This window comes from Homo sapiens, chromosome 5 (genome assembly GCF_000001405.40).
Source record: "Homo sapiens chromosome 5, GRCh38.p14 Primary Assembly".
Classification (NCBI taxonomy): domain Eukaryota; kingdom Metazoa; phylum Chordata; class Mammalia; order Primates; family Hominidae; genus Homo; species Homo sapiens.
In genome coordinates, this window is record NC_000005.10 from 94181980 (window position 1) to 94195382 (window position 13403).

General features: G+C 36.7%; 1 protein-coding gene and 1 long non-coding RNA gene across 7 annotated transcripts in view, besides 1 other annotated feature; one reads left to right on the forward strand and one right to left on the reverse strand.

The window, feature by feature from the left end:
* Positions 1–13403, forward strand: part of LOC105379087 (uncharacterized) — a 140268-nt gene that overhangs the window by 70388 nt on the left and 56477 nt on the right. The gene's annotated exons all lie outside the window — the stretch shown is intronic.
* KIAA0825 overlaps positions 1–13403 on the reverse strand; it is a 467754-nt gene that overhangs the window by 31129 nt on the left and 423222 nt on the right. The gene's annotated exons all lie outside the window — the stretch shown is intronic.
* Positions 2836–3344: an enhancer, noted in NCBI's record as "OCT4-NANOG hESC enhancer chr5:93520520-93521028 (GRCh37/hg19 assembly coordinates)". NCBI's record gives its function as "activates a minimal SCP1, AML or CMV promoter by ChIP-STARR-seq in primed H9 embryonic stem cells {active_cell/tissue: H9 hESC(primed)}" and the evidence as "EXISTENCE:reporter gene assay evidence [ECO:0000049][PMID:30033119]".

A 13403-nucleotide genomic window follows, 5' to 3' on the forward strand; every position in this document is an offset into this window, starting at 1 on the left:
TTTAATGACTCTTCATTAGTGACTTACTACTGCTGACAAGATGTTTAAACTCCTTATCAACATATACAAACCTCTTTCTGACTTGGTTCCTGCTCGCATATCCAGCTCCCTCTTCTACCATTCTTCTCCCATCCTACCCTTCAGTGGGACCTTCAGCGCACCCTATAGACAATGCAGGCTCACTTCACCCTTCAGCTGTTCATACCAAGGAAGAGCTGATTATTTCCTGTGAATTATTCATCTTTCAAGACATAACTTAAAATGTCCCTTCTTTTTTTTTTTTTTTTTTTTTTTTTTTGAGACAGGGCCTTTCTCTGTCACCAGGGCTGGAGTGCAGTGGCATGATCTTGGCTCACTGAAGCCTCCGCCTCCTGGGTTCCAGAGATTCTCCTGCCTCAGCCTCCTGGGTAGCTGGGATTACAGGCACATGCCACCACACCAGGCTACTTTTTGTATTTTTAGTAGAGATGGGGTTTCACCATGTTGGCCAGGCTGGTTTCGAATTTCTGACCTCAGGTGATCCACCTGCCTCGCCCTTCCAAAGTGGTAGGATTACAGGTGAAAGCCACCATGCCCAGCCGTAAATGTCCCTTCTTATGCCAAGTTTTCTATCCACTCTCCATCTCCAGTCTCGCCTCCTTCTTCCCCTAAGCAAGTACTGATATTTTTGAAATACTTTTATGATAATTTTTTTCCTTTATGAAAATACAGAGGTATGTGATTATTTACTTCTAATATTGCATACCTTGAGAGATTATTTGCAGTTATTTTTTAAACTTCTGTGTCCCCCTACTGTGTTGTCCCCTCTCTTTTTGATGGCAGGACTGAATCTATTATCTCAATAACTTCAGAACCTAGTGAATTATTTGGTGATTCTGCTCAGCAAATATTTGAGGACTAAATGAATAGATAGGCAGTTTGCACAGTGGTATCTCTAGTAAGGTAGGGAACAGGTTCTTAGTAATTATGGTTTTTCTTGTAGCTCACCTCCTAGCCTGTTCTGTCCCAAGAGGTTGTGTATATCTTAGCACAGAAGAGCAAGGAAGAGAGTTTGTGGGTTTTGTTTTTGTTTCTTTCTGATTCAAGGTCAAACTACCAAAAAAATTCTGTACAGCCAGAAATGAATCCTTTGGAAAGGATTCATTTGTAAAGGATTCACTCTTTACACTATTCCTCATCATTCAGCTAAAAGTATTAAATACAAATTATCACCTACCTGCTACACCAAAAATAATTGATATACAAAACCATGACAACTCTTAAGAATCAAAATGAACTAAAATCTGTTATGAATTTTGTGACATAAGAAGAGATGTATATTTGGTCTCTGCCCCAGTTCCTGACACAGAGCTCCTAAAACCCTTGTAATTTCCAAAGTGATAGGGATAATAGGAGCATGTTTTGTTATAAATCTTTTGTTCTGGTCTTAGTCTCTGGTTCCTGATAAAAGAGCTTCTAAGACCCAGTGATAAGAGTGTCATTTTATATGCTAATGAGATGACTACTGGCTGGGGTCCCTGAGTAACTTTAGGATGGGGCTGGTTCTCAGAAAGATCAAGGCATGATTAGAGGGTTGAGACTTTCAGCCCAACCCCTTGACATCCCAGAAGGAGAAAAGGGCTGGAAATTGAGCCAATGGCCAATGATTTAATCAATCATGCTTATGTGATGAAACCTCTATAAAAATCCTAAATGACAGAGTGTGGGAGCTTCTGGGTTAGTGAACACATCCACATGCCAGGAGGGTGGCACATCTCTACTCTGCAGAAGCTTTTGTGCTCAGGCAGGACCATTCTGGACCTCAGCCTATGTACCTCTTCATCTGGCTGTGTATTTCTATCCTTTATAATATCCTTTATAATAAACCTTTATAATATCCTTTATAATAAACAATAAACTTAAGTGTTTCCCTGAGTTTTATGAGCCATTATAGCAAATTATCAAACCTGAATGAGTTGTGGGAACCCCAGATTTGTAGCCAAGTCAGAAATGTGGTTAACCTGGAGACCCACCACTTGTGATTGGCATCCAAAATGAGGGGCAATCTTGTAGGACTGAGCCTTTAACCTGTGGGGACTGCACTAACTCCGGGTAGTTGGTATCAGAGTTAAATTTAATAGTAGGACATGCAGTTGGTGTCTACAGAGAACTGGAGAACTGCATGCTGTGGAGAACCCAAACATTTAGTATTCTAAGTGTCGCGAGTAGAGAAACGATTTTCCTAGAGATGTTAAGGATGAAAGGAAGTGAGGTAGCATGGAAGAAAGAAATATGACTATCAGGTGCTATATTTTCCCTTCCATATTTATTATCTCATTTATTTCTGAAACAACTATTCAGTGTAAATATTATTATCCCCATTTTTACATTTTACATTGGAATGCAAGAACTCTTAAGACTCCAGCAGTTCTTTTGCCATTTTCATACATGCATTCTCACTCTGAAAAGGCCAACCTACTTGCTGTCCATTTATGGTTTCTTTTCTGCTTTTAAACACATTGATCATTCACACAAACACAGACCTCATACTCTTTATATTAGAATGTTTTATCTGCTTTTTGTTCTTAGTCTAAAAAGAAGGCATAGACTCTATCTTGTCTATATTCAACAAAACCTCCTATACTTTATAGATGCAAATATTTAAGAAACTTATGCACAGGTTTTGTGCTATTATCATGTAAATTATTTTAAAGAAGATTAAACTTATGAAAATGCATATATTTATATATACACATATACACACACATACACAAGTCTTTAAAAAATATTAGGGTTTAAATGCAAAGATCAGAGGAAACTCAGTCTTTGGTATCTATTTAAATTTATCATTTCATCTTAAGTTTGTACCTTCTGTACTTTGTCAATGAAGAATCCACAACTCAGGCTGAAGTCATTTCCCCTTATGAAAAACTGGCAGCTGGGTGTATCCAGTTATCTATTGTATAACAAGCCACCCCAAAACTTAGTGAATTAAAACAATACAATCAACTATTTCTCACAATTCTCTGGGAAGCTCTGCTTGTCTTGCCTAGACTTACCAATCTGATAGCTCATCTAATCAGGCTGGGGCTCTCTGCGGGTATTGTCTTTCATGTCAGTCTTCTTCACAGCATGATGGTTTTCTAAAGGGCAGCCCCAATGCACCAGTTTCTACTCTCATCATGTTTGCTGATGTCCCTTGGCCAAAGCAAGTCACAGGACCAAGCCCAGAGTCAGTATGGGATCCTGGGACTTGTAATTTATTGGAAGTCATCACTATAACAATCTACTGCTCTAGGCATCTTTATGACACACTTTGAATTATATTTCATATACTTCTAGGGCTGAGGACATACTGTAATTAACCACATAGAGCCTTGAGTATGCTGAAGATTATTGATGCCTACTTATCAAAAGAATATGGTGTATGGTTGAGAGGTATATGCATTGATTTAAGTGCTTCTTTGACTTTATAAGGAAGCCACATATTAAATATTTGTATTCATCCCACTTGTTTTTAGATACCCACTACAGGTTTTACCTGTAGCTACTGAATTAAATGCTGACCTTTCCTTATTTTAAGTTTTTCTCAAATTATAAGACCCTGGAAGAATTACCCCTGCACTCTGGTCTTATTTCAGCAATTGTACTCAACAAGCTCTCCATTCACCACAGCAGGCTTGCCAGTTCATAATGTATGGAGTACATGTTCTGGATACACATAGATAGGTCAGGATATATAAAAATTCCTAGTTCCAGTTTATTATGATTCTTAAAGAGTAGAGATTCAAACCATCTGTTCAAGATATTGGCACAGAAAAAAAGGGCATAGATTTTAAAATTAGAAAATATGAGCTTCAGTTGTATCATTTACTAGCAAGTTACATAATTTCTTTGCATCTTAGTTTTCTAGTATAGAAAATGGAAATATTAATAATAGCTACCATAACATTATTTGGAGCATTAACTGAGATGATTAAGCAAAGGTCTGCACAGCACTATACAAATGTATTACACAATTCCCTTACCTGAAACCATTGAGGTCATTTTCAAAACTCAGACTTTGGAAAGGTAATACAATGCATTTTCTGTTTATTTAAAGTAACCTTCCCAACAGAGTATAGGGTAGTACTATACAACCAAACACATTAATATATCTGCAGCAAAACATATAAACATTCATTTTAGGTGGAATAAATTAAGACTATCAACTTATAAGAAAAGACTTTTAGTTTAAGAGTTATGTGTATTTCAGAATTGTAGTTAAGGAATTGTGAGTATTTTATTTGCATATAAGTTTAGTTTATTTTTAATTTTTTAAAAACTCCACATAATCTTTAATGGTTAGGATTGTTCATAAATTTATATAGGATAGTATAGATGATTTTGATTATTGGTGTACAAATGCCAATATTTACTGACCTTTCTAAAGCAGTAAATAATATTTCCATTTGGAAGAAGTAAAGAGGTAAAAAGAGAATTGTAGGACAACAAATGACATAAGCAAGGGATATGTGATAATAAATAAGTCAATTTGTAGGTGCTTAATTAGGTTATTTATGATGTAAAGCAAATAAGCAAATATATGGTGAAAAGTACATGGCAAAGTTAGTAATATTATGTACTATATGTCTTGTGTTGTATTTGACATTTTGAGTAAACAAATCCAATATAAGATCTGGTCTCTGCCTTTAGGAAGCACATAATCCTGCTCAGAGATAGACCAATCATGTATACACACGAAGGAGCTACTGAGATCAAAGCATTGTTCATTCATTAGAAACTGAGAAAGGACATAGTTTGGTAAGAGCAGGAGCTACCAGAGAGGGTGTTGTGAGGGAAGTAGGAGTTGAAGGATGCCTTCAGTTTGGGTAGAGAAAAGATGACCAAAACCCAAGGGAAGACATGAGGGTGGGCACATATATTCCAGAGGCAGAGAGGGGCCAGTGTGTATAGAACAACAAAGGGATCAGAAGTCATGTAGTAGAGCCATTTGCAGATGGACTTAAAAGCCTATTGGGAATAGTTCAGACTTGATGGATCATATAATAGAAAATTACTGCAAGTTCTTGAGCCGAAGAATAAACTCCTGAAATTGATAGTGAATAAAGGCAAGTTTGACACTGAAATACAGTGCAAAGGTGGATCGGAATTGAGAAAGACTGGGAACAAGGACGCTGCTAAAATAATCCATGCAGGCACATCATAAGGACTAAGACTGGGGCTGGGGGCTAGGGAGTTGTTGAGTAGGAAGAAGAAAAGGTAAATCTGAAAATTCTGATTAGATGGCTTGAAGAAAAGTGGCAAAGAAAACTAGCATTTTTTAGCCAGTTCAGATTCAGACAGGCAGAACTGTTGTGAAATTAGGGATGGTGGAAGCAGGAGTTCATTGGAGGGAAGGAAAAAAAAAAAAAGATGAAAAACAGAAATCTGAGAGAAAGGAGTTTTTTTTTTTTTTTTTTTTTAATTTTTTTTTGTTTTGTTTTGAGATGGAGTCTCACTCTGTCGCCCAGGCTGGAGTGCAGTAGCGAGATCTCGGTTTACTGCAAGCTCCGCCTCCCGGGTTCATTCCATTCTCCTGCCTCAGTCTCCTGAGTAGCTGGGACTACTGGCACCCGCCACCACGTCTGGCTAATTTTTGTATTTTTAGTAGAGACGGGGTTTCTCCGTGTTAGCCAGGATGGTCTTGATCTCCTGACCTCGCGATCCGCCCACCTCGGCCTCCCAAAGTGCTGGGATTACAGGCATGAGCCACCGCGCCAGACCGGGAGTTATTTTTTAAAAAACAAATTCCAAGGCCTAAACTCCCTCAAATTCTGAACTGGTAATATTGTCAGCAATGATTAAACTTCAGAAATGATAGTAACTCTTAAGTTAACACAACAGCCTCAACTGTCAAAGAAAACAAATGGAGCACAATGTACATGCAATGGACTGGATGTTTGTATTCCTCCAAAATTCATATGTTGAAATCCTGACAGCCAGTATGATGGTATTAGAAGGTGGGAACTTTCAAAGACGATTAGGTCACAAAAGTATTGCTCTCATGAATTTGATTAATGCCCTTATAAAAGAGACCCCAGAGAGATTTCTCATCCTCTTTCCACCATGGGAGGAGATCACAATGAGAAGTTGGCTGTCTACAACCCAGAAGAGGACTCTCCCCAGAACCTGGCCAGGCTAGCACCCTGATCGTGACTCCCAGCCTCCAGAGGAGAAATAAATGTTTGTTGTTTGAGCCAACCAGTCTATGGTATTCTGTTACAATCGTCTGAATTAAGACAGTACACCAGAAAATAAGACAGAACACTGTAACATATTTTATAAAGTGTTGATACTTTGAGGCATTTATTGTAATTTGTAAGTATTTGGACCTCTCTATTTGATGAAGACTTCATATTTAATTGTGAGAAAGTTCTTTCTTATGCCATACTGATAGCTCTTTAATACCTGTTAGTAAAAATAAGTTTTCTCATACCTCTTTGCACTCAGTAACATTTCCCAGTTCGGCTATGCTTTCTGTCATTATAGTTTTGCTTTTTCTAGAATTTCATATTAATGGGATCATGTAGTACATAGTCTTTTGTCTTTGGTCCTTTCACTTAGCATGTTTTTGAGATTCGTTCACATTTTTGAGTTATTCATATTTTGTTATTTTTATTGCTGAGTAATATTTGATAGTAGAGATATATCACCATTGTTTATTCGTTCAACAGTTGATGGACATTTGGGTTGCTTCCCACTTTGGTTGTTATGTATAATGCTGCTATAAACATTTGCAACCTCATCTTTGCATGGACATGTATTTTTACTTGAATAAAATAGCTGGGAGGGGAATTCCTGTGTTCTATGGAAAAAATATATTTAACTCTTCATAATGTACTGTCAGATTGATTTCTAAAGTGGCTGTTCCATTTTTTATTCCCACCAACACTGTATGAAAGTTTCAATTACTTTACATCTTTGTCAACACTTATTATTGGCAGTCTTTTAACTTTTAGCCATTCTACAGTAGGTATGTAGTAGTACCTTACACTGGTAGTAATTTACGTTTCCCTGAGATAACTATCAATGTTGAGTATCTTTACCTGTGCTCGTTGGCCATTTGTATATTATCTTTTGAAAAGTGTGTGCTTAAGTATTTCCCTATTTATGAAATTGAGTTTTCCCATTGAGTTGTAAGAGTTCTTTATACATGTTGGATTCGAGCCTTTTGTCAAGAATCGTCTATAAAAAATTCCTTCTAGTCTTGGCATGCCTCTTTGTTTTCTTAAGTATGTCTTTTGGAAGAAAAAAGTTTTTAATCTTAATGAGAGTCCATTTTAACTTCATTTCTCTTTTCACAGTTTTTGTCTTTTGTGTCAAGTTTAAGAAATCTTTGCCTAACCTAGTGTCATAAAGATTTTCTTTCCTATGTTTTCTTCAGAAGTTGAGTAGTTTAGGTCTTCATATTTATATCTAAAATTCATTTTAAGTTAATCTTTGTGAAAAGCTGTGAAATAAGGATAAAAGCTCATATGTTTCCTTATGTAAATATCCAGTTGTTCCAGTATCACTTATTGAAAAGACTGTTTTTTTCCTCCATTGAAATAACTTAGCACTTTTGTCAAAAATAAATTGACCATATAAGCATGGATCTATTTCTAGACTCTTTATTAAGATTCATTTTCCTATGAAAAAGTCCATTCTTTAGTCAGTTCTACACTGTCTTGATTAAGGTAGCTTTATAGGAAGTCTTTAAATCAGGTAATGTAACCCCTCCAAATTCATCCTCCCTTTTCAAAATTGTTTGGTCATTCTGAATCCTTTACTTTTTAATATAAATTTAAAAATTATCTTGCCAAATAATCTTGTTTGAATTTTAATTGGGATTTTGTGGAATTTATAGATCAATTTGGGGAAGACTGTCATCTAAAAATATTGAATCTTCAATTCATTAACATGAATTTATTCCCCCATTTATTTACTTATTTTACCTTTTACTTTTTTTGCAATGTTTTACTTTCCTTTTGCAATGTTATATAGACTTAAGTGTTCGCGTCTTGCATATCTTTTGTTATTTTTATTCTTGAATATTTTTATGCTATTTGAAATTGAAGTTTAAAAATTTTTATTATTAACTGTTTTTTTGCTAACATATAGAAATACCAGTTTTTATATTGACTTTGTATCCTGCAATCTTGCTAAATTTATTCATTAGATTTAATACCTTTTTTGTGGATTCCTTATGATTTTCTACCTAGCCGATCACGTCATTTGCAAAGAAGGACATCTTTACTTCTCCCTTTCTTATTCGCATGCTTTCTGTTTTCTTTGCTTGTCTTATTGCACTGGCCAAAATATCTAATACGATGTTTTTTGTTTGTTTGTTTGTTTGTTTGTTTTGAGACGGAGTCTCGCTCTGTCGCCCAGGCTGGAGTGCAGTGGCACTATCTTGGCTCACTGCAAGCTCCTTCTCCTGGATTCACGCCATTCTCCTGCCTCAGCCTCCTGAGTAGGTGGGACTACAGGCGCCCGCCACCACGCCCAGCTATTTTTTTTTTTTTTTTTTTTTTTGTCTAATACGATGTTTAAAAGAGTTTGGGAGAAGACAATCCTTGCCTTATTACTGATCTTTGAGTATGGTATTAGCTGTAGGTCTTTCATAGGTGCCCCTAATCAAGTTGGTATGTTCTCCTTTGTTCCTAGTTTACTGAGTTTTTATTATGGAATTGTTTTGTCAAACATTTTTCTACATCTATTGCAATGACTACATTTTTTTTTCTCCTATACTATTTTGATATGGTGAATTGAATTGGCTGTTTGTGTTCCAGGAACATGTAAATAATTGAACCTAAACTGCAAAGTGAAGGATAGAACATTTAATGATAATAGTATCATTAAAAATGGAAAATAAAAACATGTGTCTTAATATTACTTACTTAACGCACCCTTTTAAAAAAATCAGCAGAAAAACACCAAATGCTAGACATCTGAGTTAGTATGGGTAGGAATGGGGTCTGTTCAAAGAGGAGATATTATCTAATGTTTTTCTTTCTTTTCTGATTTTTAAATTTTTCATGTTTATTGAAAGTACTCATTTTTGCTTTGACATTATGTTACAAAGTTGACAACTCAATATTAAATTCCATTAAATGAATTCAAATCATTTGCTTAAAATCACATATTTTTTCTATAGAAAAGGAGCTTGTCATCAGGTAACTTGTAGGTACCTCATTATGTAGAAAAATTGTATTACCAGCTAAAAGTTTTAGCAGTGATTCATTCTCATTTATAATAAAAACAAAAATATTCCTGTGATTAAATTTAGCTGTAGTATTTGGCTACATCCTGATGCTTTTGATTCCATGAATGTTTAATTTCATTCTAGAGAGAAAACATTTGGGTGATTAGGGGCAGGACTAAGCACCCATACTCACAAAAACTGAACACAAAATGAAACAATTCATCATGCAGAAAATAGTCTCCATAAAAATACAGTTTCCTGAAAGGTAAATTATAAAAGTATGCATTTACCCAATCATTTTAAATGCCATAATTATACAGGCTGCTCATCAAAAGACTTTTAGGATTCATTAAAATCATAAAACAATTCTAATTAAATCCATATTTAAATTAAGTTTCTATAACTAACCTACATGGTACTTTAAATCAAACAAAAAAAGTTGTATAAAAGATCCAATTAATTGTAAGTTTTTGTAAGAATTAAAGCCTAATTACTCTATGATTAAGTTTCTCCAAAATGTAATCATCAATGGCTCTATTCAGAAGAATTAGCCTTCTGTACCCCAGATGCCAGCGGAGTGCTGCAGCCTGTCTTTGACACCAGCAAACCTATTCATCTGAAATCAGCATGACTGTGGAAACTTTACCTCCACCCCCACTGGGGATCCAAGTGGAGAGACCAAACAAAGCTGCATATTTTATACAGATAAATGTCTCCCTATCTGCACAGTTCCCTATCTGATTAAATAGATTCATGTTCATCAGTGAATTAAAAAATCAATCGTCAGAGCAGGTTTTAGAAACAATGGCTATTTCAAAGATTCCCAAGTCAATGGGAAAAGATGCACAAAAAAAGAATAAGATTTGCAGCTTACAGAGAAAGCGAACTAGGCGTTCTAACTCTATGCAACTCTTCTTTCTTACTTAGCTACTTGAAATGTTTTTCATTTTTATTAGTCCAACTTCCCACGGGAAAGAAAATAAAAAAGCTCTGTGACATCGCTGCCTCTTGTGTGTTTTCCAAAACTAATTAACCCTATGAAGTTATTAGGACAGCATCATTTTTTTCTATCACATCACACAAGGTGAAGGTCACTTGTATAATATTCTTGGCTTCATTCATGTAGTGCATATCCCACAAAATATAATTTACTGTAATTTCCCCAGTGCCCTGATAGCCAAGTGATTAGTTATTATGGTACATAAAAAGTTCAGACATATTACATATGATTTATAACCTCTATTTCTGATAATCTAATTTTCTTTTATGGTAAAAAGAAATATACTATATATGTTTTATAGATTGTTATTTTGAGGAAATCACTATTTAAAGTATCTTTTTATATGGATTCCGCTGATTGCAAGGCCTCTGGAAGCTGAAGCATCCAAATGATTGGGATATAAGGGTAGTTCTTTATCTACTTAATGAGACTTTTTTTTTAACTACCCTTACCTGCGCCAGTGGCAGAATGTTTGTCTGGTCACAGGTCAAGTCAGGCCAGCACTACCTGCCATCCACCCTGTAGGCATTAGTGAAGAAATGATAGCTCTGGACAAACACAATTGGGTATAGAATCTAGCCACAGCGGTTATTTCCTTCCCCTCAGGTACACTCTCCCTGACTCAAGAAACCCCCAGCTCTTTGCCACAGAAACCTTACCCTTTTATATGTGGAGTTGGCTTTCTCTGCTTTTAGAGAAGGGATTTTTAGAGCTATAACACATACATTTCTAGAACGCAGTTCCCTTCTCACTTCCTCTCCCCAATTACTATATTATCTTCATTTTTGCAGTGATCAAATTTTGTTACATGAATGCTAGCCTCAGTTGATTACATTAAAATGGTTTCTATAATACAAGAAAGCTCCCCCTAGTTGATTTGAGAGGTTCACATACAGTTATCACAGAAAAGGGTAGGTCTCAAAAAGGAAATCTGAGCAGCTTAGCTAGGTGAAAGAAAGGACAGTCCCTTCATCCTGTTCCTGACTGTGAAGAGGTGAGCACATGAATGAAGCTGCACCTACCATGAGGGCGTGCCAGAACCCAGGGGGAGGCCTCTTTTTCCTCTGTATCAGGTATAAAATGGAACAGCATCTGTGACCTCTAGTGATCAGAATGCCACATTGAAAAGTCACACAGCTAATAATAATGGCTGTTAATTATTAAGTACTTACAAAATACATGTATTGACCCTTTAAATCCTCACACTTATGAATTAGTATGATTTTCCAACTTTTATAGCTGATGAAACTGAGGCCAGAGGGGTGAAGTAATTCAGCCAAGGTTACACAGCTAGCAAATGGCAGCGCAGAGTTTTGAACTCAGGAAGTCTGGCTCTACTATCTATTCTCTTAACCATTCTGTATCCTGTTCTTTCAATTCTTTGTACTCTGTGCTTATTTAATAGCAAATACTTACATTGCACTGAAAATATGTCAGGCACTCATCTAAGAACTTTATTAAATCTACTTAGATCTCACAACAACCCTATGAAATATGTACTGTTATCATTCTCATTCTTTAGATTAGAAAACTGAGGCACAGAGATGTTGAGTACCTTGCAAAGGTTATGAAGCTAGGAAATGGAAGAGACTGGATTCAAACCAAAGTGGCCTAGTTCTGGAGTCCATGCTCTGTACCACCTCCTGTTTATTTTCTTGTCATCTCTTAGCACTTTGTGAAATGTCTTAAAGATTTAGTCTGCCCCAATTTGTTCTAAAGGGGAATAAAGGATAACTGTTTGTCCTGCTGAAGCCAGAGCACCCAAAAGCATATTATTTGGGGATAGGGCTGGGGATGTGGAGGCAGGAGATAGGGAAGAGCAGAATCATGATCACCTGCACAAACAAACCCAAGGTAAAGGTCAAACCAATAGAGACAGAACAGCTGGTCAATTTCCCTCCCTAGACAAAGGTTCTCCTTCCAGGGCTCACTTTGGAGATACTGGTTTTATTTTTCCTAGGAGAGGAAGCAGCTGCTTGCAGACAATGTCTCCTCTCTGCCCTCCCCAGGCTCCTGCTAACCCCTCATGCTGAAAGCCATTCTTTTATTGGCCTTCACACCACTCTCCTGGCTTTTCTTCTCATGTCCTGACCACCCCTCTTGGTGGGTTTATTTCTGATTGAGTCCCTCTGCCTTCCATTCTATGACAGTGGATAGCATCCTCAGCAAATTCAGTCCTTGGGTATGCTTTCTCCCCTCTCTCTCACTGGGATCTCACTGAGTTTAACTATCACCATGAGGCCAGTGACCCCCAAATAGTAGTCTCTTTGGAATACCTGCCCCCTTCTCCAGCTATGTGAGGTGTATTCACTCAGCCATCTTCTTGTCACTTCAAATTCTAGAAATCCAAAGTGGAGTGAATATTCCACCTCCAAGCCAACGGCTGGCCACCCATCTGTCTCTGTCAGGGCCACCACCAGGCCGCAGAGGGACAGTCTGGATCTGATGGGCCTTACCTCTTCCTGCTTTGCCATTATTCACTCTTCCTTGCTGCTGCTTTTACCTATCAAGATTACATCTTCTCATTCCCCTAACCTAAATCCTTCACATATTTCTGGACCCATATTCAATTTCCACAAAATCTTCTCTGATTACTTTGGCTCTCAGTGATCTCTCACCTCCTTCACACTTAATGTCTGCACTACAAAATGTAGCATTTAATCACTTCTGTCTTGTATTTTTTGCCATGTGTTCATCTTTTCTTAGAGCTAACTCTAGCTAAGTATATACTGCACTGCATGTCAGGCACTGGGGTACTGTCCATACATCATTTCACCAAATCCTCATGATGACTCTGTGGGGTTTCATAATATTCTCCAGATTAGAGATAACGGTGCTGAGTTTAAGAGAGATGAGGTAACTTACTCAAGGTCACAACGCAAAATGGAGGAGGTAAAATTCTTACCCACTTCTGTCTGACTACAAATTAACAATCTCTGTACTCCCCGTGGTGACTGACTGAATCCAATTCCTTTAAGCTAATTTTTCAAATTCTTGAATTTGATTTCCCTATGAAGGAATCTGGGTTATAGTTAAATCCTATTCCAAACAAGATAAGGCAGAAATAAATGAATACATAAGTGTAGCATCAATGATTTCTATAAGCCAATCCAATAAATTCTAATGCAGATTTTTGAATTGATAATTTCATACCATCAATACAGAACACAAAAATGTAATAATTACCACAAATTTAAA